The sequence below is a fragment of the Homo sapiens genome, chromosome 12 (genome assembly GCF_000001405.40).
Source record: "Homo sapiens chromosome 12, GRCh38.p14 Primary Assembly".
Lineage (NCBI taxonomy): Eukaryota > Metazoa > Chordata > Mammalia > Primates > Hominidae > Homo > Homo sapiens.
The window spans coordinates 72944610-72972516 of record NC_000012.12 but is presented as its reverse complement, the minus strand read 5'-3'; the positions used below and the strand labels follow the sequence as shown (position 1 = coordinate 72972516).

Sequence of the window (27907 nt, the reverse complement as noted above, 5' to 3'; positions counted from 1 at the left end):
TTTAGCAGTATTGCATTGCTACTTGTTATTCAACACTGGTGTTATGAGAGGTGGGGTCGAGGGTATGATGGTTCTCTCTTGTACTGATTTAGCCTAAGTTATAGAAAAGCGCTATGCCTCTGAGTCTGGATGGTGTGGCCTCAGAGGTACTGATCCTATCCCAGTGCCAGTTCTGGACCCAATAGGTATTCTTACCCTTCCAACACAGAAAAAGGTTTTCATTTCTGTTTTTTCTTCCCCCAATCACAAAGTTTTCAGCAATGCCTTAAGGGCATTGGTTGCTGTCTCTGCTTCTTTCCCTAGTTTAAGGCTTTTGTTTTGTAGAGGAGGTGCAGTTTTGTGCTTTTGCCCTGGGTGAGGTTTTGTGCCTTTCTCCACAGTGGCTGTTCTCCTCCTTTAGCCCAGTGTTTTGCCAGAATTTTTTGTAAATATTTTTGTGAGCATCCAGTGAGGTCATTATTAATAATTATCTAATTTCATTATAAGTCACATATAAAACAGAATGGTTTTAACAGGTATTACTCAGGGAGACAAATCTTAAACTCAGCAGAGCTCCTATTCCTGAAAAATATGTTATCCATTGAATCACAGATGTTAGAAGATAAAATTAAACCAGATTATTATGAAATGTTATAACTAGGCCATATGATGTAGGATCCTCCCCACCTCCATTTCCCCCTACACTTTCTGTTATGTGAAATGCCTATGGCTTTTCCTACAAAGTACACTGTCAGATGTACTGCATTATGGTTCAGAATGTACCTTAAAACATTACACAAAGTCCTCTTCATTATGGCTCTCAGGATAAGATTCTCTCTAACCATAGGATCCTGAGCAACAAGTTCATTTTTACTTTAAGGGCATTCTCACTCCAAAAACTAAACATGGCTACACTGTTGTTTGAAAATCTAGAACCAATGTTAGTAAATGTAGAATATTTTATGCTTTTAAAGTATTGAAGCCCTTACTAACCTAACTTCTAGCTTTATCTAAATCTTCTTATGTAAATATTGTGTATCATTTTACTGTTACTTTATCTTGTTTTATTGGACATTATATGAGCCACCTGAAATCCTTTCTAGAACAAAAGTATTAAAAATAGATTTACAGTTGGTATGAACATGAGTATATCCTGTGGCCTGTACCAGCTCAAAAGATACAGTGGTGCTCTTTACAAACTTTGTGCTCAGCGATCTCACACTGGAAACTTGAAATTGGCTATGGTGGAACTATTTACATGATAGAAATCAACAAATATAAAAATTAGCCTTTTATTATTTTTTTCTGGAAAAACAGTTACCAGCATAGCCCTAAGAATATCCATATTTACATTTTAAAATAGAAAAACAATTTTTGGAGCTAAACAGTTTCTAATACAATTTTAATGTTTACTTCATAATCATTGAAGTAGGACAAGTCCTATACTGGAAAACATAAAAATAATATGACTCTCAGTAGAGCTATGGTAATAGTGTTGAAGCATTAATAAAAGGTCATCATTTACACAATTTTCTCTAAAATCCTTCATAAATCCACTAGATACTAATATTCTATTTGGTATACAATTATAAATTATCATTGTCCTCTGATAACAAAACTGGAAGATTATTGTTTCTTGGAATAATTTTATCATAATGCTTCAGTTATAGCCTATTTTGCGTCATATTAACCAGATATCTTTAATAAATTTTTTATGTTGAATATCAGTTATTATGCTATTGTTGATTTAGGACTAAAAATATTGGCTTTACTAAAAGTCTTAATTTTATTGTTGTAGTGGATCACCTACAGATTGCCTCAATATTAATCTATTTTTGTAGGCTCAAAAAACTGAACCCCAAGAACTCAAATTTAATAAAAATTCTGTCTTTTTAATTGTATTTATTATATTTCTCACCTCCTCAACCACCCACCATCTCATCCTCATGATGGGGAGTTATCAAAAGTAATTTCAGAACATGATCTTATCAAATATAATTCTGTAGTGGTTATATTTTTGTTACTGCAACATGGTAGAATAGCCTCGTATGGTTTCCCTTCTACTGACAATACACTTATTAAGAAAACAGCCATTAGATATTCAGCTAAGCTTAAAAGATATGAATGAAAATTTAGTTTTCTAGATTTAAAAAGACAGCTCAAAATAGCTTCTAGAAGCTCAGGGAAAATAATCGTCAACCTGTAATTCTATATTATGAAATGAACATAGCTAAATAAAGATATGTTAGGACAAAAATTAAAACAAAACAAACAAACAACAAGACTTTATGACTTCTAGTCTTGCACCAAAAATGCCCTTGTAGGATATTCTGCAGTAAGAAGTATATAGAAAGAAGAAGGGGGGTATCCATCAGAATTGAATTCAGCTGCATGTAAGAGAGATCCCCAAACAAGGGTGTAATGTTAAACCATAAAAGTTTATTTTCAGCACATGAGAATAAGTTCAGATGTAGGAAGTTCAGAGATTTTCAGAGATTTGCAACTACAAAATGTCATCCAAATTACAGCATTTTTCTATTATCCTCTTTCTCTCTTTTTTCTTTTTCTAACAACTGACTGTCTTCCTTATGCTTTCCAGTTAGCTCTTGTATCTCCAGATATTGCATCCACATTTTTAGTCAGGAAGAAAGAGGGAAGTTGTGAAGGAGAATCATCAAATACCAATAAGGTTGTCCCTTTTTATCAGGAAAATGCATTTCCTAGAATCCTTAACAAATATCCTCTGTTTGTATCTCATTGGCCAAAATTACATCATGTGGACTACTCTGCTGTGCACCATTCTAAGTACAGAGGATAAGAAGGATATTGGATGGGTCACATATAAACAATGCCTGACAAAGCATGAGAGGCAAATAGCAAAGTTAGACAAAACAATTAATAAGCATGGATAAACCTGAATAAGCACAGACATTTAAAAATAAAATTATTTGGAGGAGAGTTTAAAGTATTACTAAAGATATGTTTAACATAGGAGGCAAGTAAGAATTAAAGTCTTCATTTTTGTGATAATGGTAGGAACATTTGTAAACTTTAACTTATGTGTAATTGAATATTGAGCTGAATTTTCCCTGTGGTCTTAGGATTAGCACTAGAAACCATAACTAGAAATATTAGTAACACGTATGACTTCTATCCACACTGGTGAGAACTAGTCAGATAGGCACATCTGTAGGCAAAGAGAGCAAGGAAAGGCAGTTCCTGACTGGTCAGTCACTTTCCAGCAATAAATCTACCCTATGAAAAACAAGACATGATTTTTTTGGGCAAGAGAGGGCCCAAGTGGATCAAGTGTACAGTGGATGTTGGAAGTGTAAAGAAAGAAAGACTTGCATCTCACTCACTCGTTGGGTACTCTACTGAGGCAAAAGGCATGTCGGATTAGTGGATTTACAGCAACACAAAGCAGAACAGAGGAGTTGTGTGTCTGGAGAGTACATGGGAAAATCTTCACCTCATTTCAGTTCTCATTGGAGTCTCATAAAGAAATTGAATAATGAGTAATGAGATAGTGACATGGGATTGCCCACATAGCTTCAGTGCCATGCCATTGGTAGCATTACCTACTGATGGAGCCAAATGAGTTTATGTAAATCTGAACAGAGCAGTTCTTGGTAAGAGAGTGAGCTCAGAATAATACTGAACACCATTCCAAATAGCCACAGATGACATCTATATCACCAGAACATCAGTGGGAAGCCACCATCAGCAGAAAAAATCTAACTGAACCAGAACAGCAAAGAAATAAAATGCAGCCAGTTGCACTAGCAAAACTGTGTTTTCTGTGTATAGCTACTCAGTGTGATTCGCAATCCAAATGCATAATTACCTGGGAACTTGTCACATATACATGTTTTCAGGCATCCTGGAACCTGCAGGACTTACCGAATGAGAAAGAATAGATTAGAACAACTTTTGCACTTGAAATTCCTTGAGCAACGGACTGAAGTTGTTCAATATAAGAAAGTACAATTTAGATTTAATTTGAAATTGAAGCTTTAAATTGGATTATTACTTTAAAAATAAAAGGAGACAAGAAAGTTATGGAATTCGTTTGACAGACAAGGAACAGAAATTCAGATAGGGTGCCAGATAGGGTGCCAGATACGGTGGAGATTTAAGTGTGTGTGTTAGACAAAGTGTGAAGTGACACATAGTGTTTTCATGGGGAAGAAAGCTTATCCATGTAAATCAAACCTTACTGTTGCAATCATATCCTTGGCCTCAAAATTCTCATAGCTGTTTGTAATAAAGGATGTTTAGGCATCTGTAAAAAAAAAAGCATTATTAGAAATAAAGTGTTTTAGAGATAAAGCATTAAACAGCAAAAAGAAAAAAATGTAGAAAAATATAACAATGCTGAACTTCATGCATCCAACAATATAGCCTCCAAATATATAAGGTAAAAATAAACAGAATTATGAGGATGAATTTAAAAATGCACATTTATAACAATTATTTTTAATATAACACAATCAGAAAGATAGAAATAAGAAAACTAAATCAAATTAGTAATATATAGAAAATTAATCAACTCAGTTAATGAGTTATTATCATCTCTTATATGTCAGCTAATATTAGCCAATATCAACTTATATATACGTCAAACCAAATATTTAAAGATCTTTTTTAAAGTTATATAGAAAATTTATAAATATTAATCATTTGCTGAGATAAAAAAGAAGTTGCAACAAAGATGAAATCATTCATATCACCTAGAACTAGAGTTTTCTTATAAAAATAAGATAAAATTGGAACAACAGAAAAATAACTTCCAAGCTACATGTGTATAAACTTTGGTACAAAAGATCAAATTGATATAAAAGATTAAAAATATGTTCCTGGATACCCCTAAAACCAGAGAGAAATTATAAGGAAATTTATATAAATCTACATGTGCTAAATATTTGTGATACTTTTTTAAGAATGAGCATTACAAAAAAATAAGGAACATAAATTTTGAAAAACTGAATAAAAATAAATATGTACATACATAAGAATGAAATACATGAAAAAACAAAAGCAGACAAGAAAATGTATAAAAGATTATCAACAAAATGTACTAATGAAAAAGAACAAAGTAAATAAAAATGTCTGAAGATATTAAATATTTCAATAAATATAAATAAACTAAGCATATATGTTAAAAGAAATGCATTTTCATTTTTTTAAGCAATATATTTTTTAAAGGAGACACATCTGAAAGTCAAAGGTTTCCTAATATTGAAAATAAATGGATTTAAAAATACATTTAGGTTAAATACTACCCAAAATAAACTAAGTATATAGTTATTAATATCAGGTTAAATATGGCTTTATGAAAATATGCTGGGTACAGTGCCTCATGCCTATAATCCTAACCCTTTGGGATGCTGAGGTTGGCAGATCACTTGAGCCCAGGAGTTCAAGACCAGCCTGAGCAAAATGGCAAAACGTTTCTACAAAAAATACAAGAATTAGCTGGGTGTGATGGCGCACACCTGTACTCCCAGCTATTCATGAGGCTAAGGTGGGAGGATCACCTGAGCTCGGGAAGTTGAGGCTGCAGTGAGCTAAGATTGCACCACTGTAGTCCAGCCTGGGCAATGGTAGTGAGACTCTGTCTCTAAATAAATAAATAAATAAATAAATAAATAAATAAATAAAATAAACAAAAGACTATTGGCATTAGAGAATTAGTTTAAGGAAAATAAGTCTAATTCACGTCATTAAAATTAAAGTTTTCAGTATGTCAAAGGATAAAATCAACACATTGAAAAGACAGGCATAGGAAAAGATATTTTTAAACCTATGATTAACAAATGGACTGTAATTCTAACACTTTAGGAGGCTGAGTTTGAGAGGATTAGTGGAGGCCAGGAGTTCAAGAATGCAGTGAGCTGATCATGCTGCTGCACTCTCACTCAGGCAACAGAGTGAGACCCTGTCTCAAACAGAAACCCTAAAGATAGAGAAAAAGAAGTACTATTTAAATTTTCAGATGACCAAAAATTTCAGAATGATCTATCAAATTAGAATTAATAAGTGACTCTAGCAAGGCAACTGGATACGAGGTGTTTATACAAAACATAATATTTCTATATACTAGCAGTTAGTTTTCAAAAGTTTAGATAGCACTTACAAAATCTCTTAAAACATAAAATATTAAAGAATAAATTTGCCAAAAAATATGTAAGACTTTCACAGAAATCTGCATCACAAACTTTTAAAGACCTAGTAAATGTTCATATATTGGAATACTCCATATTGTTAAGATATGGTTTACAAAATTTAAAATGGAGGATATAGTTTAGATATCTCAAGGCCAACAGCCTATAGCCACATAGCCAAAACTCAAGTTATTGTGATTTTCCCCAAAATGCTAGCTCTAATTATTTTTTAAAAAACACAAAACATAATCTTTCTGTTCTTTGACAGCATAAATCAGCCAAATTAAACAAATCAGTGACAGATCAATAAGTTTCAACAGTTCTACTTGCCTAAAAGGAATGTAAGTTTATGATAGCCAATCCCAATAAAAATCAATGTATGCCCTCATTTATGCTTTACATGCTGCACTGTAACTGCTCTGACCAGGACGTACCACTTTGGTTTGAGGTCTCCCAGTTTGTGAATGTTTCATTTGTATACACAATAAACTACAATTTTTTTTTGATCTGATTTTATTTTTGACAATATTAATCTCCCTTCCAAACTGGTCTATACTCAGAACAGCAATGTAATCTACATGAATAATAAAACATTTTTTATTAAATGAAGCTGTTGATTTTTTTTTGTTATTACTGCCCTAGCCTGCAGTATCCCTGGTAATTGCCAAAAAATAAAAAGTCTGATAAGACTAATTATTGATAAAGATTTGGGAAACAGAAACTCTTACTGGTAAAAAGTAAATTTGTTCAAAGCTTGGATAGCAATTTGGGAAGAGTTAAACAAAGCTGAAGTAATAACTAATCTAAACTATCATTTCATTTTATGGCAAATAGTCTAAGTACACTCTTGCATATATATCCATATATATAATATCCATATATATATATATATTTATGTCCATATCTAAATAAACTCTTGCATATATATGAACATAAATATATATACATATATATGCAAGAGTTTACTTAGAATATTTGTGAGAATAAGTTTACTTAGAATTTTGTGAGAATGGATGTAGAATCTGAAGACAGTCATGGGCCACATAATGACATTTCAGTGAGCGATGGACTGCATATATGACAGTGGTCTCATAAGATTATAATACCATATTTTTACTATGCCTTTTCTATGTTTAGCCATATTTATATACACAAATATTTGCCTTTGAGTTACAGTTGCCTATAGTTTTCAGCACATTAACATGCTATACAGGTTTGTAGCCTGAGAGTAATAGGCTATATCACATAGCCTGGTATGTAGCAGGCTATACCATCTAGATTTGTGTAACTACCCTCCAGGATGTTCTCACTATGGCAAAATCACCTAATAACACATTCATCAGAATGTATCCATGTCATTGACACATGACTGTACTACTGTTCAAATAAAGACTTCCAAAATGAACACAAGCAAAGGCTATTTACTGAGAGATTGCTCCAGCAAGGGAGTCAGCTACCATCGCTTATTTGGCAGAGACTCAAAGGCAGGGAGGGGAGTGGGAAAATGTTATGGTAGAAGAAGGGGAATGTTTGAAGTGTTCTGTGATTGAAAGTTGTTGGAAAGGGAAAGCTGAAAGTGGGCTAACTAGAAGCAAAGCATCTATGTAATTGGTAAGGGCAGCATATATAACTTTTTCTGGTTGGTCCTGAGTTGGAAACAGGAACAAAATTAGAGAAGCGAACAGTTATTTGACCAAGTAATTTACTGTTTTGGGCTGACTGATGCAGAGGTTGTGAGTCAAAGTTCTATTTTTGTTCATACTATGGCTATTGCCCATTTCTATATTCAGTCTATCACTACACTACTGTGAAAACAAGTAAACTAAGTCTTCAAGTATCAAAATAATAATGTATTAAAACATAACATTAGCTGAAAAAGAAGAAAAGCTTTTTAAGGTAGTCTAATATGTTAGGATTTAGGAAAGAATGTTAAACTTTATTATGGATGCAAATGTATGCAAGAACAGTAATAAAAATCTTCAGAGAAAAGATATATAGTAAGTTTGATAGTTGTTTGCTTTGAGAAGGAAGGCAAGTAGAGGAGGAGAGTTTAGAGTATAAGATTTTATTTCTCAAAAATAAATCAGAGGCAAATGTGGCAGCTGAGTTTATAGATGTCCATTTTCTGTTTTTAGAATGTTTAAATATTTATCGTTCAAATTTTAACTATCTTTCTTTTTCTCCTCCTCCTCCTCTTCTTTGAATAAATTTTATTGACCTGTTCCCTGCACATTATAATTAGTTCTTAGCAGACATAAATTAGATTGGAGTCAAGATCTCATTGTCCACCACAACCAGGCAGATAACAAAGCCATGTGGATGGGGCCTATATAAAACAATGAGAAATTGTAACGACTGTGATAAAACTGAACGTGAATAATCCAATTAAAGACTTTCAAACTGAGGATAGTATAAAGCAGTGTGTAAGCAGTGCCTGAGTTGGTCTATGGATTGCTAGGGTTTGAACAGTGTTGTTAAAGATTTTCTTGTGAACTATAATGAACGCAGTGAACAAGGACATATAAAAACCTCAGACAAGCAAGTGCTAATAGGAGCTAGCAAGAATGAGGAAAATCAGAGAAAAATCTTCCAGACCTGCATGAGCTAGATCAGCAGTGCAAGACTGAATCACTCCCTCAATCCACAAGCATTTATGAAGCTTACTGAAAGCCAGGTATTTCGACAAGTGCTACGATTTCAAAGATAACATCAAAGAGGTAACATTAAAAAAAAAGAAGAAAAAAGAGTGCCCTGAATTAAAGAACCTAAAAGAGAGAGCTTGCTTTGAAATGTGTTCAGAAGACAGAAAAGAATTATTTTCCAGGAATAAACATAGTAGGCACTAATTATTTCCAAGTGAGGCTATATACATCAGGGGTCCTTATAAGATCAGGAGATATGCAAAAGGATGGAAAAACACCCCATCCTGATATATGGGAAAGGATAATAAGAATGTCTACAAGAACGAAGAGGTTGAAAAAGTCTATACAGTACTATCAAACAGGTTACTCTCTCAGTCATTCACCCCTAAAGCAAGATGAAAAAAGAAGTGGGTACTTGCATGACACAGATGAAAGAAAGCCAAGCTGCGCATCAGCAACAACACTGTGGGGATATAAAGATGGACCTCTTAATGAACAAATGCGTTAAGTATATTCTCCATATCTGTATGTTGGCATAGAATAGATTCCGCTGACATTCAGTTAATCTGAGTCATGTATTGATATCCTAGATTGCTAGCTCCGAATTCTGCTGTTCTCCAAGAATTTACGTGAGTCAACCAGTTATGAGATATTCTTCATGTATTTTGTTTCTATTGATGAAATGTTGACGGTTCCTGTCTTTCTTTCCTCCCTTCCTTCTTTCCTCCCTCCCTTCTTTTCTTTTTTCTTTTCTTTTCTCTTCTCTTTTCTTTTTCCTTCCTTCCTTCCTTTCTCTCTCTCTCTTTCTTTCATTTCTTTGGAAGGGAAAGTGGAGTTACAATTAGAGTTTTTGGGAATATGTCATGCATGCTAATATCATCTATCAAATGTGATACATTAGAAAAAAAAGAACTGACGAGTTGGCTGAACATCAGTTCTTTCATTCCACATGTGTAGGACAACTGAGATTTAAAGCCCTAAAGTATATTACACTCCAAGTGCTATGCATGTCTGAAATATTGAAAAAAAAATAGTGCAATTCTGACATTTATTCAAGAAAAATTTCAAAACAATAGCAAAAAACAAGCCCATGTGATTTGACTATTATAGTAACATCAGTGATATTTTAGAAAATGCGTCTAAAAATCCATCAATTTTTTTTTTTTTAGTTTTTTCTTTTAGATGGAGTCTTGCTCTTGTTGCCCATGCTGGAGTTCAATGGTGCTATCTCGGCTCACTGTAAACTCTGCCTCCTGGGTTGAAGCGATTCTCCTGCCTCAGCCTCCCCAGTAGCTGGAACTACAGGCTCACACGACACCATGCCCAGCTAATTTGTATTTTTAGTAGAGACGAGGTTTCGCCATGTTGGCCAGGCTGGTCTCAAACTCCTGACCTCAGGTGATCCGTCCACCTCGACCCCCAAAGTGCTGGGATTACAGGCGTGAGCCACCATGCCCGGCCCACATTTTCAAAAAAAAAATTGGTTTAAGTTCTGGGATACATGTGCAGAACGTGCAGGTTTGTTACATAGACACGTGCCATGGTGGTTTGCTGCACCCATCAACCCATCATCTAGGTTTTAAGCCCCTCATGCATTAGATATTTGTCTTAATGCCCTCACTTCCCTTGCCTGCTGACCTCCTGACAGGCCCCAGTGTGTGATGTTCTCCTCCCTGTGTCCATGTGTTCTCATTGTTCAACTCCCACTTATGAGTGAGAATATGCGGTATTTGGTAATATTACAAATTGTTAAATCAGAAGGGAAATTCTTACAACAACACCTTTGTTCAAAATGTTTTTTGAACTCTTTCGGAATTTGTAGTATATTATTTTGAGTACCTCAGACCAATAGTTTCTTTTATGAGAGTAAATTGTTCTTTTAAAACAGACAAACATTATTTAATGCCAACTTAGGTAAATGAAAGAGGACACTGACAATCTAGTTACTCAAAATTTGCCTCAAAAAGCAACTTTAAAGGGTTCCATAGAAGTTGTGATCAATTAAAACAATTCTGAAAAACATGTATTTAATACCATTTTGGCTACTCCAAAAGATCTCTTTAAATGTATTTTCCAGTATATCCATTTTTTAAAAATTAGAGAAAATACAGGGCTTGGGACTTCATTATCACTTATCAATGAGATTCCATAGACAGCTGCAGACAAAATTTTATAGTTTCTCTTTTGATATTAACTACCTAAAAAAATGTCAAAGCTTGCTTTATACATTATACATAAAGTTATATGGAAATATGCTGCCCAGTGATTTCATTGGTGAAATAAATTCTGAAATATTATATATTTTCATTTTCAGATACTCTTCTTGGCATTAAACATTATAACATTTTTCTGTAACATCAAAGGCTTAATTTCTGAATTACTTGATATATTAAAAATAATGTATTCCTTCCTTCATTTAATCCAACTTCCTGGAAAGAACAAATTGGAATGTCTTAATATATTAACTCTCTATTAAAATGCATGCAGATTTCTCAGATGTGGAGAACCAATTTGACAGTCTTATGAACTTTATATCTACTAAAATGCCTCCTAGTTGACATAATAGCTTTAGGAGCATTGAATACTAGGATTGAAAGGAATCTGTCAATACATATTTCTCCATATGAGTTATTTCTATATGGAAAGCTGTTTGGATCAAAGAGGATACTGCCTATTTAAATAAATTTATCATTACATCATTTTAATGATAGATAACAATCCTTGAAAATAGTTTAACAGGAATTATAACTTTATCTTTGTTCTACAACCAGCATTATTAATAAAATAACCATGCTTTCTTTATTTTCACCTTTCAGGTAAATATTTCATACTAGTTCTATAGCCATATTCTCAATTAAAATTTACTCTGCACCTCAACATCCTCTTTTCTGAGTCTGTTGAGACTATAAATACAAGAAGGTTGAGGTTATAATCTTTCTCAATTCGCAGTTAAACTCCTGGAAGTGAGGAAATAAATCCATGGACCTCTACTTACACTGCACTGGAAGGTTTTCCCCCAAGAACACGCCAAAATAATGTGGAAAGGCTAAAGCTGACGTTAAATGCCCCACGCCTAGGCAATCTTTTGCCTATCAACCTGACTCTGAGGTCAGAAAGAATTAAAAAAGGATTAAAGAAAAAATACTGGAAAAGCAATGAGGCACCTGAAATAATGTTCCCTTTTAATTATGTTTATTACCTTTTTCACTTTTTTCAATAATTTTGGATATAATTGATTACAAAGAAGACTAAGTTAAGCCAAATGTCAGAACCAGTTACGAGTGGCCAACTTGTACACTGGTTGGCCAGAGAAAATTCCAATTCTATTGATGCCCACACAAATTAATTTAGCTTTAAGATCTCTTGATGACCTCAATATTTTTAAAGCATTCTTCTTAGCAGCATTCAAGTTTCTATCCAATATTTATTTTTTAAAAAATCACCAAGATCTGAAATAAGTGCTTTGAAAAAATCTCTTTGCATGGCACATAGCAGACGCAAACAATTTTATTGAATAAATTAATTTATAAATTTTAAAATGTTCTAAAATTATTTAGCTATATCTCTTAGTGGTAAAATATATTTCTCACCAAATATATATACTTAACATTTCAATTCCATTCAGTAAATGATTAAAAATTACTTCCCCTGGGCCACAATCTGCTGATAAGAAGGTGAATAAGATTCATAACATCAAGGAGTTCCCAAATTATTATGTGAAAAGAAACACCTCCAAGTACTACTTATAACCTCCTTCTTTATGATCTTTTGGGTGTAATTAAGATCCTCTGCAGTAATGAGCAAGTCTTACATTTACAATTGTGTATTAAATGTGAAAGATGCTGACATTGACGGTGATGACATGCTAGGTCAATTGGTGCCAAACCAAAGCAATCAATAGTGTTAACAAAACATGATGGGCTGGTCATAAGGTGGAAAATCTCGAGCTTTTATGGATGCATAATCAGATACAGTAAGGCCAAATGCCTCTGAATCAAGCAGCCATTACTGCACAGTCATGTTCTCTCTTTAAAATGGTTAAGAACAAACGTGATACTATTTGACAAATGTTATACAAGTTCTGTCATAATTGCTATAAAAGCACAGAGATAAATACATTCTGTAGGCATTGAACAGAGAAGAATTTCAGAAAGTAAATTGTGACAGAATTTGAAATTCTCAATATTTATCAAATCCACCAAGACTCAGGAGGAATTTTCAGTAGCAAAAACATGTTATGGACTGAGATGAAACAGCCAGATAGTGAGACTGAAGAAGTTATTGCACTAACCCCAACTAAATTCTGCTGTGTGAAAAGCCCAGATACTTCACACTGAAGGTTCTTCTAACTCTATAGCAAGCACAGTATCTATGTAGCTCCATTCGGAAGTAATTACTAGCTTTTCTTCTACATTCTTTTGGATACACTTTCCAATAGAGTAACATCACCAAAGGCAGAAATTAGCAACTGATGGTGCATTATAACCCAAGCTGTGAGCTTCACATTAGGAAGGATGGAAATACTAGAAGCCACGGGAGCAATAGCAGTTACAGGTGTCCATACCCTGTTTGTTGTTTCATGCACTTCAAACCAGTCCAAATCACCTAAGGGTAGCTTTCTGTCATGCTTCTAGTCTCTGAGAGCAAAAGTTTTCTTCTTTGCCCTACAAAAAAAATTTGATAAACAACATAGGCATGAAAAAATTTACTTACAGTCTGTGCACATCAACAATCTCTCCTCTAAAAATCTAATTGGATTTCAATAATATCCACAATCTCTGGGGGTGGGGGGTAAGGTGGTCAATGAGAATTTATTGATCCTGTTTATTGGCTACCAACAGATCAAGGTAAATATGTCTTGTGTCAGGAAGAATAAAGGACAACAATAGAAAATAACAAAAATATAAGGAAAAGAAAAGAACTTAGATCTTGTGAATAGATCTTGCCCTCAAAGTATTTTCAAATTTAACAAAATATAGTCAGAGCAAAATATCCCTGATGTGATCTCTTAATAGACAAATGAAGGAGATGGAAACTGAGAGATGAGGAAGGGAGTTTACACTTAGATTGAAAGCAGGTACAGAAGGGTTGGCTTTAGGGAATACAGTGGGTCTTTGTCACTGCTAGTGCTCCTGAGTTAATAGTGTTTCAAAATTCTGTGGGCAGTGTCTGGTGTGGGTGGGTCGTGTCTGAGACTCTACACCAGAGCATGAGGCAAAAATGCAAAGAGATATCACTTCTGGTGGTGTTGACGGGAGAGGCCCGACCACCACTTTGTATCTTTCACATCATGGTTCAGAAGATGTTCTTGATGATGACTAAAAGCAGACAGAACATCTTTTGTCAATAAACTTGGATTCAGAGCTTAGGCTTTTATGCTTGAGGCCATTTCAGGGAAAGAGAGAGGAAAAGCCTGCATTTCTTTAAAAATGTTATGTCTTTTTCCAGAAATGTCATCAAGCTTTCACAGGACACTATATATATTTTTTTAAAAATGTACGCCTTCAACAATGTGGTGATAATATCTAGTTGTTCTGTAAAGGAAGACTAGAGAAATTTTAGAAAGTCATAGGTCAAGTGGGCATGGCTAATACGGTTTAAATCAGAAGGTTATGAAAAGTTTTGGGACACTGGGTTATAAGGCTTCAATTTTAACACCAACCTCTGGCTTCTTTACTTGCCAACTGTGTGATTTCTACTTGCCTTCCCATATGTATTGAAATATCTTTTGGTAGAAATGTTAAAAAAGAAAGGTCTAAGAACTTTAATTAAATATTGTGAAATGCACAGTCAACACCTTTGTATACAACATAAGAAAAAATTAATGAGATTAGATGTTTAGTACTCCAGGGAACCAAAAGCATGTACTCAAGCTCATACCATTAAATGTAGTCACCTCATCTCTCCTGGATTCACCAAAGCATAGAGGAAATGTGCTGAATGCCGTTAATAATACCTGGTATCTGAATGTGTGAAAAAAGTGATTGCCACAATATTGACTTGAACAAAGTGAAAGAACTACTGAAAACCAAGAAGAAATTGGCTAACCTGATTAGTCATATCCTTCAGATGAGTGGTGATACATACAGAGAAAGAAATTTGAAAATACCCTGTAATACGTCAGAGATTTGATTCACAATGAAAGGGTTTTCAAAAAAAGAAAAAAAAAAGCATTAAAGCATCTTGTACGTCATGGGTCCACTTTTAAATTTTGTGTAAATAAGCATGCTTTGTACAAAATTAGGCATAGACTGATCTGGATAGAGACATTTCTTCATAAATCACCTTAAGAAATATATTTAAAGAATCTTAAAGTCTACATGGAGAGAAAGAGAGGAATTATCACTGAGAAAATTAAAATAGAAGAAGCTTGCCAGGTTTCCAGGGTTTCCAAAAGAGTAATATGAACATCCGGCTTGCAAGACTATAGATGAAGAATTTGCAGCTATTTCTTCAAAAACAGAACAGGTAATGGCAAAGCAACTGGAGTGAGTCCTTTTATCCAGTGATTGAAATAAGTGGCTGTCAGCAGGACTTTGCATGCAAAACTCAGAAAAGCTCAGATCTAGTGATCTGAAATCTAATTATTCTGATTCTTAAGGAAAGACCTGGAACATTTAAATTCCTAATTAAAAAATTTAGCAATAGTGGGCTGCTGTGGAAAATAGTCCAAAAATAAGAAAACATCGCTCATCAGAGAACCCTGGAATTAAAAAAAAATACTTTCACTGAATTTTTAACTGAGAAAGAAAGTCATAAAAATGAAGCCTTAGGTTTCAGGAAAACATTATTCAAGATAGCATTGATCTTCTAGAAAGTGGTATCAGATCTAAAGATAATGTTTCAAACTACAAATAAAATTTCATAATAGATATTGTTTTCTTCAGTTCAAACAAATTTTGTAGCCAAATATGAATAGGTGAAGTTCATAAATTCAGATGAGAAGGTTTAAAATTTATGTAAATTTATTAAACATTAATTCTTAATTGTTTAAAAAAGTGTAATATAGTTGTGTTACTTTTAAAATCTAGAGAATTAGTTATATTTAGTTGAGAATATGTACAATATATTTTATTTTATATAAAATTTTACTATTTTCAATGCATCTAGCATAAATATGATCATAGGAAAGGCTTTTGAATTAGTTGTCAGAAATTGTGCAATGACTTAAAAAAGTAGAAATGAGTTCCTAATTTAACAAAAGAAGGGTGTATGAATATGACATTCAATAAAGTTGAACTTTTTAAACAACAGACATATAGGAAGTCTCTTTCAGATGTAAAATGTTTATTTGCTTATTTCTCAAGTATTTAAGGAAGGCAAATAAGTAAAACAATAATGTGAAATTACATTTTACTTGATTGATTCCAAATGTATTATATTATAGCTTACTAAGATAAATATGCTTGACACATACCTATACACATAGTGAAAATAAAGGAAGAAAGAGGAAAGAAGGAAGGAAGGAAGGAAACGTTATTCGGACATAAACACTAAAGAGGACTAATACATAAAATCCTGTTACAAATACTAACATTTCAGAATACTTCAAATAGATTATGACACACCAAGTTAATCATAAATATGATAAATATGATTATGAGGCCTGTACTGGAACAACTATTGTTTGTATCTCAAAATCTTCCACATATCAAGTTAGTAAAATAGAGACTCAATGGATTATTGGAGAATGCTCTGCTACACAAACTATTCTATGACTGTCTTAATTCATGCATATTTTCTAAACATTTATTTACTTGAATCCTGGACACGTTATTTGTTGTGCAGTTTTATTTCTGCTTACCTTTCAGTTTAATGAGTGCTATTCTCTTCTAAAATTTATGTTAACCTGAAGGTATTTCTATTTTCAATTTCCACAATTAAATTAAGGTAGATGTGTGCATATATGCATGGAAACCATGACTAAATATTAATAAGATATATTTGTCCATTTGCTCACAAATTACACTTTCATCTTGGAATCAAGATGGTGAAAATCACCAAATATGGCTCTTCTAAAACATATAGATAGATAGATGATAGATAGGTAGGTAGATAGATAGATAGATAGATAGATAGATAGATAGATAGATAGATAGATGTGACATACATACATATATATTTATATGAATAAAGAAGACAGTGAACTATGCACCTGATCGTTTTACATACTTGCCACATTCATGTAGATCTGGTATGTTCCAGAAAAACATGTTGACTTGGAATATGCATTTCTGTTTGTTGGTTTATTTGTTTTAGTTTAGCTTTGTAAAAGAGCTGTTTGTATTAAATAATAATCTATAGGAAACATGTTTTCAGTCGAATGCTTTACAAAATACACACATTATTTTTGTTTTTGATAAACCTTTATAACAGAGACAACAATAAATATTACCCTTTAAATATTTTATGGACTATCTTGTAATACTTTGTTAATTACATGTGTTATGAACTTGGGAATTTTGAAGTTAGTAGTTAACTTTGTCATACATATAAGATTTAAAAAAATATTTTCCAATTTCTATTAAAAATAAAATATACTTTTACAGATAAAAAGTATAAATTTTAGAACACATGTGATTGTGATCTCAATAGACTTTAAAAACACCTAAAAATATAAGAAATTGGTATATGGAAGCTGACATGAGAAGGCAATAAACTAAGATAAAAAGGCATTCCTAAAATAGAGATTTTTTAAAAAGCTACACGTAATAAGAAAAGAAATGAGTAAATGCAAAATTTGCAAAATAAACATGTAATGCAAGCAGGAAATATAATAATACTCTAGGAAATGTAATCAGTAACATGCAGAAAAAAAATACAGATAATTTCCTAAAGCACATAAAGAAAAAAGGCATTAAAGTAAGGACAGCAAATGCTAGTTGAACTAAAGATAATTGGTGTTTTTAATGATCAAAACCAGTAATTAAACCTATGGTAGAGAAATACTTCCCTGAGCTTACATGACCGAAGATTTCAGATCAATATTATAGGTCTTACTGAGTGTGAGTATTCAGCCATATTTGTAAAGCATACACACACACACACACACACACACACACACACACACACACTCTCAAACAGAAATATTTTAGTTTGCTTATACCTTAATATATTGCTCAGGTGTAAAATTGACCATGAGTTTTCTACTCTATGCTGTTTTCATTCAGTTTTTCATCAGATAAATGTGAGCATTATAAAATAAAAGTATGTAACTTCCCATAATTTTCCATGTTTCATAAATACTTTCTCTAAAATTGAAATTATCCTTCACTTGAAATTTTATTTAAAAGTTTCTGTAACATGCCCTGGAGCTTTTGACTTTGCTAAGGGTAAATCTTTATCAACTGTTTTCATTTTTTTCTAATGTTATTGTTTTAGTAAGATTTCCTGCTTTTTTGAAGGAAAATGGAGAATGCTCTGCTACACGAACTATTCTATGACTGTCTTAATTCATGCATATTTTCTATTTTTATTTTATTCTATTTATATTTTTGCTAGGGTAAATTTTGACAATTTATAGTTTTCTTCAAAAATGTTTAGGTTTACATTTTTTTTGGTATGAAGCTGCGTATAGTGTTCTCTGAAATGTTAGTTTAAGCTCCTGTAGACCTGAACTCATAACATTTTTCATTCTGAATGTGTTTTTTTCTCTGTGTCTTCTCTATTTAGTTAGCTCTTAACTATATTTGCCAAAGGCTTGTCTTTTGAAAGACAATTGATATTTTCAAAGAACTTTGCTTTTCTTTTTATTGGTCAATTCTGCTGCTTTAACTTATTAATTTCCTATTTCAGTAATTTCTGGTTTAAAATATATTCTTTCCTTCCTTCTGTTGTTTAGAGGTTTATTTCACTGTTTTTTTTTTAAACTATGTTATTGAATTGCGGGCTTAGTTCCTGTATTTCTCCAGTTCTTGTTTTCTAATAATTATATATAAAGCTATGTTTTCACCTGTCACTTCGATCATATGTCAATTTAGTTTTGTATGTAGTAGTTACCTTGGAGTTTGAAGGAAGTGAAGCATCATGGTTTAAACCTTGGACTTTGGAACTAGACTATTTGAATTCAAATCCTATCTTGGTCACATATTAGCTAGATGAAATATAGCACATTATTTAAGCTCCTTGTGTCTTTAAATGGGATTAATGACAGTGCTGACCACATAAGGTTTTTATGAGGATTAAATATGTGAGCATAAGTGGAATATTTAGAACAGTAACTACACATTGTAAATGCAGAATAAATAGTAGGTATTTTTAATGTTAATATTGACATGTAGGTCTAGTTAGTTATCTCCATTAATATGGTTTGGCTGTGTCCCCAACCAAATCTCACCTTAAATTCCCACATGTTGTGGAAGGGACCTGGTAGGAGGTAATCGAATCATGGGGGCACATCTTTCCCATGCTGTTCTTATGATAGTGAATAAGTCTCACCGGATCTGATGATTTTGAATAATGGGAGTCTCCCTGCACAAGCTCACTTTTTGCCTGCTTCCATTCATTTAAGACATGATTTGCTGCTCCTTGCCTTCCACCATGATTGTGAGGCTTCCCCACCCACGTGGAACTGTAAGTCCAATTAAACCTCGTTTGATTGTAAATAGCCCAGGTTTGGGTATGTCTTTATCAGCAGTGTGAACAGTCTAATAAAGCAAATTGGTCCCAGGAGTGGGGTGCTGCTGAAAAAATACCCAAACATGTGGAAGCAACTTTGGAACTGGGTAACAGGCAGAGGTTGGAGCAGATTGGAGGCCTCAGAAGAAGACAGGAAAATGAGAAAAAGTTTGGAACTTCCTAGAGACTTGATGAATGGCTTTGACCAAAAGCCTGATAGCGATATGGACAATAAAGTCAGGCTGAGATGGTCTCAGATGGAGATGAGGTACTTGTTGGGAACTGGAGCAAAGGTGACTCTTTTTATGTTTTACCAAAGAGAATGGCAGCATTTTGCCCTTGAGCTAGAGACTGTGGAACTTTGAACTTGAGAGAGATGATTTAGGGCATCTGGGGAAAGAAACTTCTAAGCAGCTAAGCATTCAAAAGGTGACTTGGGAGTTATTAAAGGCATTCAGTTTTAGAAGGGAGCCAGAGCATAAAAGTTCAAAACATTTGCAGCCTGATGGTGCAACAGAAAAGAACAACCCATTTTCCTAAGAGAAATTCAAGCCTGTGGCAGAAATTGGCCTAAGTAACAGGGAACCAAATGTTAATTCCCAACACTATGGGCAAAATGTCTCCAGGGCATGTCAGAATTCTACATGGTGGCTCCTCCCATCACAGGCCTGGAAGCCTAAGGAAAAATGGTTTTGTGGGCTTGGCCCAGGGTCCCTGTGCTGTGTGCAATCTAGGGTCTTGGTGCCCTGCAACCCAACTACTCCAGCCATGACTAAAAGGGACCAAGGTACAGCTCAACCTGTTGCTTCAGATGGTGGAAACCCCAAGCCTTGACAGCTTCCACGTGGTGTTGAGCCCACAGGTGCACAGAAGTCAAGAATTGAGGTTTGAGAACCTCTGCCTAGATTTCAGAAGATGTATGGAAAAGCCTGGATGCCAAGGCAAAAGTTTGCTGCAGGGGCAAAGCACTCATCTAGAAACTCTGCCAGTGCAGTGCAGAAGGGAAATAAGGGGTCAGAGCTCCCACACAGAGTCCCTACCAGGGCACGACTTAGCAGGGCTGTGAGAAGAGGTTCATTGTCTTCCAGATCCCAGAATGGTAGATCCATGACAGCTTGCACCATGCACCTGGAAAAGCAACAGCCACTCAATGCCAGCCCATGAAAGCAGCCGGTGGAGGAGAGGGGGTTACACCCTGCAAAGCCACAGGGGAGGTGCTGCCCAAGACTGGGAACACACCTTTTGCATCAGTATGACCTGGATGTGAGACATGGAGTCAAAGGAGATCATTTTGGAGCTTTAAGATATGACAGCCCCACTGGATTTCGGACTTGCATGGGGCCTACAGCCCCTTTGTATTGGCCGATGTCTCCTATTTGAAATGGCCATATTTATCCAATGTCTGTACCTCCATTGTATCTAGGAAGTAACTAACTTTTGATTTTACAGGCTCATAGGCAGAAGGAACTTGCTTTGTCTCGGATGAGACTTTGTACTGTGAACTTTTGAGTTAATGCTGAAATACGTTAAGATTTTGAGGGAATGTTGGGAAGGCATGATTGGTTTTGAAATGTAAGGACATGAGATGTGGGAGGGGCTAGAATGGAATTATATGGATTGGCTGAGTCCCCACCAAAATCTCATCTTGAATTCCCACGTGTTATGGAAGGGATCTGGTGGAAGGTAATTGAATCATGGGGGCACGTCTTTCCCATGCTGTTCTCATGATAGTGAATAAGTCTCACCAGAGCTCATGGTTTTGAAAGATGGGAGTTTCCCTGCATAAGCTCTCTTTTTGCCTGCTGCCATTCATGTAAGACATGACTTGCTGCTCCTTGCCTTCCGCCATGATTGTGAGGCTTCCCCAGCCAAGTGGAACTGTAAGTCCAATTAAACCTCTTTCATTTGTAAATTGCCCAGTCTCAGGTATGTTTTTATCAACAGCATGAAAACGAACTACTACATCCATTTTATCTATAAATGCAAGACTTATTTAGAAGCATTAATTTTTCTTAAATTTTATGATTGAGAGATATTTTGTTAATTCTTTTGTCAAGTTTTACAGCTACTGCTTCATGATAATTGAATTTCACTCTCACATTATCAACATTTTGAGCATGTTTCTAAGACTCCTTTTAAAACCATTTTTATGAATATATTACACATATTTAAAAAGAATATGCAACTTTCTTTTTTTTGCCAGGGAGTTTTGCTGAGGAAAACACTCCATTGCTTAATATCTAGTAAGCCTAATGAACACAGAATGTAGGAGGTTTTGGAAAACACGTGGCCCGATCACTCAAAAGTCTCCCTTTTTGTTTGGCTTCAATTAGCTTTCAGCACCATTCACAGTTGTAATTTTCTATGTGTGTCCTTGGCTGAGGCTTACCTTGTAAATTTTATCTGTTTTCTAACTTTTGGGACCTTGTCACAACATCTGGTCCTGGGAAAGAGCCTATTTGTTTTTTGTTTTCCTGTTGTTTAAATATTATATTGTTTCTAGATATTTGTTACAGGAAGGTAAGAGTGAAGCATGTGCTCAGCTCACTATCTTGAAACAGAAATTACAATATGTTATTACTTAAACTTAAATCAACACACTCAAATCAAAATTAAATAGGCAAAAAAGCCAAACATTTGTTAGGTATGCTATACAAGAAAAAGAAAGAAAGGTAACTAATATTAATCTCAAAAAATTGAATTTAAAATAGTAAGCAAAATATTGGGGGTAAATTTTTACTCCAATAAAGTTATACATATTTAACTTTACATGTCCCAAAACTATATCATCCAAATTAAAAATCACCAAAATACAAAGATAAAAATGTAAGAAATATGAGAAACATATGACAGAAATGTTTATATTGATAAATTTCTCAGAGTCTGAGAGATCCAAGTTGGTTAAAAATAAAATGTATTCAAATGATGACAAATAACTTTCATACTAAACTTTAATTTTTATAAAATTGATTATATGTCTTTTTAAGCATCTATTAATAAAAGATCACATGTATTCCCACAAATTCTTAATGGATTTGAGACAGCAGAACTTACTTAGCCAACAATATTGGACCAGATTGAAAAATACTACTATATTAAAATTATATAGTTTTCATATGATTTATTACATAATGGCCTGCATGGGATTTTTTAAAGTCAATATGGCAAGGCTTTTTTTTTTTTAGTTTCTATTATTTATTTGATTGTTTATAATTAGTTTCTTCCAAATTGTGACCAGTGATCATTTTATGTGTTACCTGAGGAACTCAGTATGGAAGCCTGAATTAATACAAGATTTTATACTTAGTCTGTAACATGTTTGTATGCTGTATTTCAGCACCTCAGACAGCCTCCTTCACTCTTTGTCCTGTTCTGCATAGTTCCAAAATCATAATCATTGGTGGTTTTTAATGTCCTTTATTAGATTCTCTTTGGAACATGCTTGACTTCATCACTTTTGATTGTCATCAGTTTCATATGCTATTCTGGAGAATTCCCTTACATATTCATTTGCAGACATTTTGAAAGAAAATTGTGAAGTCTCTAATATTTTCTCTTACTCTGTCATAATTCCGAGTGACAAGACTCTTATCTGGCCAGTAAAGGGGAAGAACAGCATGCATAGCTGTTATATAGACTTGGGAGTCAAGACAACTGAATGTGAATGCTGGTTCCCTAAATTACAGACAGTGAGTATTTGGGAAAGTTACCTAAACTTATGAAGATCCAGATTTAAAATATAATTTGCACAGAAAGCCAGTGTTTTCTTAGTAATATTAGTGTGTAGATTATACAAGTTAATACACACAAAATTCCTTATGCAGCAACTAGCATCTAATAAAATACAATAAAGAATAACTAAAATCACTGTAAGTTACATTCAGCTTTCAGAAGTCATGTCAGATTCAAATATATTCTAAGTAGTAATATACACATAGACCCTTTTATATTCCACACAGATATATAATCTATGGAATGTATGAATCAATTTATCTTTTAGTGCACAGTAAAAAGTAAAACACAGAATTGTGTTTTTCAAAACAGAAGTTGCTTCTGGTAAGTGGATTTTCGTACTCAGAGTATATCTTCCCATTTACACTTCTTTCTTTTTCTGGTGTTTTTAATCAGAATATTTCCTATCTCATCTTGTGAGATCAGTCTCTATTTCTGAAAAGAAAGGAACAGCAAATACTGTGTATATCATAAACTTCTGTGAGTATGGAGGGTGGGAATTAGTATTTGCGTATGTAAAAATATTGCATTAGACTTCTAGGTTATTTAGGTTTGTGTAGTTCTCACAGGATTAAAATACTTGAAAATGTTACTAGGATATCTCCACACTAACCTAATTTTTAAAATGGAACTATCAGGTTATTTTAATTACCAAATTATTCAGTTCACAAAAATAACTGCTTGTTTTATAAAAATAATCTATTTTATAAATAATTGACTGATTTTGTGAGTCTTTTGGTATCGCATAGAATTATTCTTTGTGTAAAAGCTTGATGCTGGATACAAATAGCTAATGTTTTAAATTAAAGTAAGCATTTTCTCTATTTTCAGCAGTAGAGTAAGTTCTGATTCATACAATTACTAACATTGTAATTGTCACACTGGTAGATTTTTACCCATTTATTTTTTACAGGTGCAAGCATTGTTGGTTTCTTCAGGCATATAAGACATTGAGGTAAAAGTACCAGTGATATTTTAGTCAGTATTTAATAAATATTTTAAAAGCTAAGATTAAAAGATAGTAATGTAGAAGAAAAAAACAAAACTATTGGGAGGTAACATAGCATGATTTTTACACATTTAAACAAAATAAGTTTATAGAAACATATATATATATATATATATATATATATATGTATTTAACCAAGTGTGTTAGTCAGGGTTCAATTAGAGAAGTGGTGGCTATTGTTCCTGGGTCCTATGTGGAAACCTGAAGTTTGCAAGATATTCAGTTAGGAAAAGAAAACTGATATGAAGAGGGGAAAGAAAGAATAATCTGAAACCTGTGAGGCTGAGCTGGAACACAACTGGAAACAGTTTGTCTTCCATACAGAAAGTCATACAGAAAACTGCATTTGTCCCTGACCATTTCCAAGCATCCAGCTTTGAGGACTTTAATTAAGAGGATGTCCTGCAGAAGAAGCTAGCACCTTTTTGTCTCAGATAAACACATCCCCTGACTGGGAATTGGAGAAACTGAAAGATAAAATCTGGCAGAAATAGCATACCCCGTGTATTCATTTTATAGGGCTGCCATGACAAAGTGCCACAAACTAAGTGACTAAAAGCAACAGAAATTTATTATTGCACATTTCTAGACCTAGTGGTCCAAAACTAACTTGTCAGCAATGGGCAGGAGCTCTGTGAAGGTTTTAGGATAGAAATATTTTTTGCTTCTTTTAATTTCCCTGCTATTCCTTACCTTATAGCTACATCATTCTATTCTCTGCCTCAGTCTTCACATGGCCTTCTCCACTGTGTGCCTGTCACCTCTTTTCTTAACAAAGACAAGGCTGAGTGCAGTGGTTCATGCCTGTAATCTTAGCACTTTGGGAGGCTGAGGAGGGTGGATCACTTGAGCTCAGGAGTTCGAGCAGCCTGGGCAACATGGAGAAACCCAGTCTCTACAAAAAGTACAAAATTAACCAGGCTTGGTGGCATGCACCTGTGTTCACTGCTACTTGTGGGACTGAGGCAGAGGATGGCTTGAGCCTTTGAGATGGAGGTTGCAATGAGTGGAGATCACACCACTACATTCCAGACTGGGGGGACAAAATGAGACCCTGTCTCAAAAATTAAAAAAAAAAAAAAAAAGACACCAGTTATATAGAATTAAAACCTACTCTATCCAGTATGACCTCATCTTAATTTTTGTATTTTAATTTTTGTTGGTACATAGTAAGTATATATATTTATGAGGTCTATGAGATGTTGTGATACAGGCATACAATAGGTAAAAATTAAATCAGGATAAATGGAGTATCCATCACCTCAAGAATTCATCCTTTGTCTTACAAATAATCCAATTATACTCTTTCCATTATTTGAAAATGTACAATAAATTATTGTTGACTGTAGTCCTCCCATTGTGCTCTCAAATACTCGATTTTATTCATGCTATCTAACTAGTTTTTTGTATCCAGTAACTATCCTCACTTTCCCCTTCTCCCTTACTATTCTTCTCAGCCTCTGGTAACTAAACATTATTCTACACGCTATCTTCATGAGTTCAGTCGTTTTAATTTTTCAGCTCCCACAAATGATTGGCAGCATGTGATATTTGTCTTTCTGTGCCTGCCTTATTTCACTAAACATAATGACCTACAGCTCCATCTATGTTGTTGCAAATCACAAGATGTTATTCTTTTTGGTGACTGAATAGTACTACATTGTGTATACATCTGACACTTTATCCATTCATCTGTTGATGACACTTAGGTTGCTTAAAATCTGGCTATTGTGAATAGTCCTGAAATAAATAAGGGAATGCAGATATCTGTTTGATATATTGATTACTTTTCTTTGGGGCATATACTTAACAGTGGGATTGCTAAATCATATGGTAGTTCTATTTTTAGTTTTTTGAGGACCTTCCAAACTGTTCTCTATAGTGGATGCACTAATTAACATTCCTATCAACAGAGCCTGTCTTTTGGATAAAAACTATTTTAAGTGGGGTAATTTGGTATTTTATTGCCTTATTGATTTGCATTTCCCTGTGGTGCAGTGATGTTAAACACCTTTCCATATATCTGTTTGCCATTTTATGTCTTCTTTTGGGAAACATCTATTCAGACCCTTTGTCCATTTTTTAATTGGATTATTAGATTTCTTTCTGTTGAGCTGTTTGAGTTTATAATATGTTCCGGTTATAAATCCCTTGTCGAGTTGGTAGTTTGCAAATATTTTCTGTCATGTTGTGAGTTGTCATTTCACTTTGTTGATTATTACCTTTGCTGTGAAGAAGCAGTTGAACTTGAGATAATCACATCTGTTCTTTTTTGCTTTGGTTGCCTGTGCTTGTGGGCTAAGAGGCAAGAAATATTTGCCCAGTTCAATGTCCTGGAGAGGTTCCCAGTTTTTTTTTTTTTTTAGTAGTTCCATAGTTTTAGGTCTTGGATTTAAGTCTTTAATCCATTTTGATTTGATTTGATTTTTGCATATGGTGGAAGATAGAGGTCTAGCTTTATTCTTAGGCATATGAATATACAGTTTTCCCAGCACCATCTATTGAAGAGATTGTCCTCTGCCCAGTGTACAGTCTTGACACTTTTGTTAAAAATGAGTTCACTGTAGATGTATAAATTTGGGATATTTGTGAAATTTGTCTTTCTGCGCCTACCTTATTTCACTAAGATCATATAATCTGCAAACAAAGATAATTTGACTTCGTTCTTTCCAATTTGCATGCCCTTTCTTTTTTTTTTCTCTGATTGCTCTAGCTAGGACTTCCAGTACTATGTTGAATAACAATAGTGAAAGTTGGAATCCTTGTCTTGTTTTAGATCTTAGAGAAAAGGCTTTCAGTTTTTCCTATTCAGTAAAATACAAGATATGGGTCTGTCATATATGGCTTTTATTGCTTTGAGGTATATTCCTTCTATATCCAGTTTTTTGAAAATTTTTATCATGAAGGGGTACTGAACTTTATCAGATTTTTTTCAGCATCAATTAAAATGCTAATATGGTTTTACTCCTTCATCCTGTTGATATGATGTATCACATTGATTGATTCAAATATGTTGAACCATCCTTGCATCCCTAGGGTAAATCTTACTTGGTTGTGATGAACTGTATTTTTAATGTGTTGTTGACTTCAGTTTGTTGGGTTTATTTTTTAAGGATTTTTGCATCAATATTCATCAGGGATATTGGCCTGTAGTTTTCCTTTTTGACGTATGTTTAGTTTTAGTATCAAAGTAATATTGGCCTCATTGAATGAGTTTGAAAGTATTCCTTCCTCTATTTTTCAGAATAGTTTGAGTAGGATTAGTGATATAATTTGGAAGTCTGTCTCCTCCAAATCTCATGTTAAACTGTAATCCACAATGCTGAAGGTGTTTGCATCATGGGGGCTAATCCCTCATGAATGGTTTAGCATCAACCTCTTGGTGATTAGTGAATTCTCACTCTGTTAGTTCACACAAGATCTGATTGTATAAAAGATTGTTGCCCTTCTTTCCCCTTTCTTGATCTGTCTCTCGCCATGTGACATGCCTGCTCCAACTTTGCCTTCTACCATGATTATAAGCTTCCTGAGGTCTCATCAGAAGCTGAGCAGATGCTGGCACCATGCTTCCTCTACAGCCTACTGAACTGTAAGCCAATTAAACCACTTTTCTTTTAAGTTATCCAGTTTCAGATATTTATTTATGGCAATGCAAGAAGAGACTAACAGATAATTGATCCCAGGGAGTGAGGTCTTTCCATTAAGAAATCTAAAAATGTGGAAGCAGCTTTGAAACTGTAACAGGCAGAGGTTGGGAGAGT

General features: G+C 34.0%; 1 long non-coding RNA gene across 2 annotated transcripts in view; it reads right to left on the bottom strand.

Annotated features, from left to right (window-relative positions):
* Window positions 1–27907, bottom strand: part of LOC105369838 (uncharacterized) — a 122994-nt gene that overhangs the window by 70387 nt on the left and 24700 nt on the right. Inside the window, exons 3-5 of one of the 2 annotated variants that reach the window (XR_945088.2) lie at window positions 13353–13452; window positions 4200–4264; window positions 3827–3877 (exon numbers count right to left, since the gene is read on the bottom strand). This is a non-coding gene — a long non-coding RNA (uncharacterized LOC105369838). The remainder of the gene's footprint in view (window positions 1–3826; window positions 3878–4199; window positions 4265–13352; window positions 13453–27907) is intronic. The other variant, XR_945089.2, reaches the window with a different exon arrangement.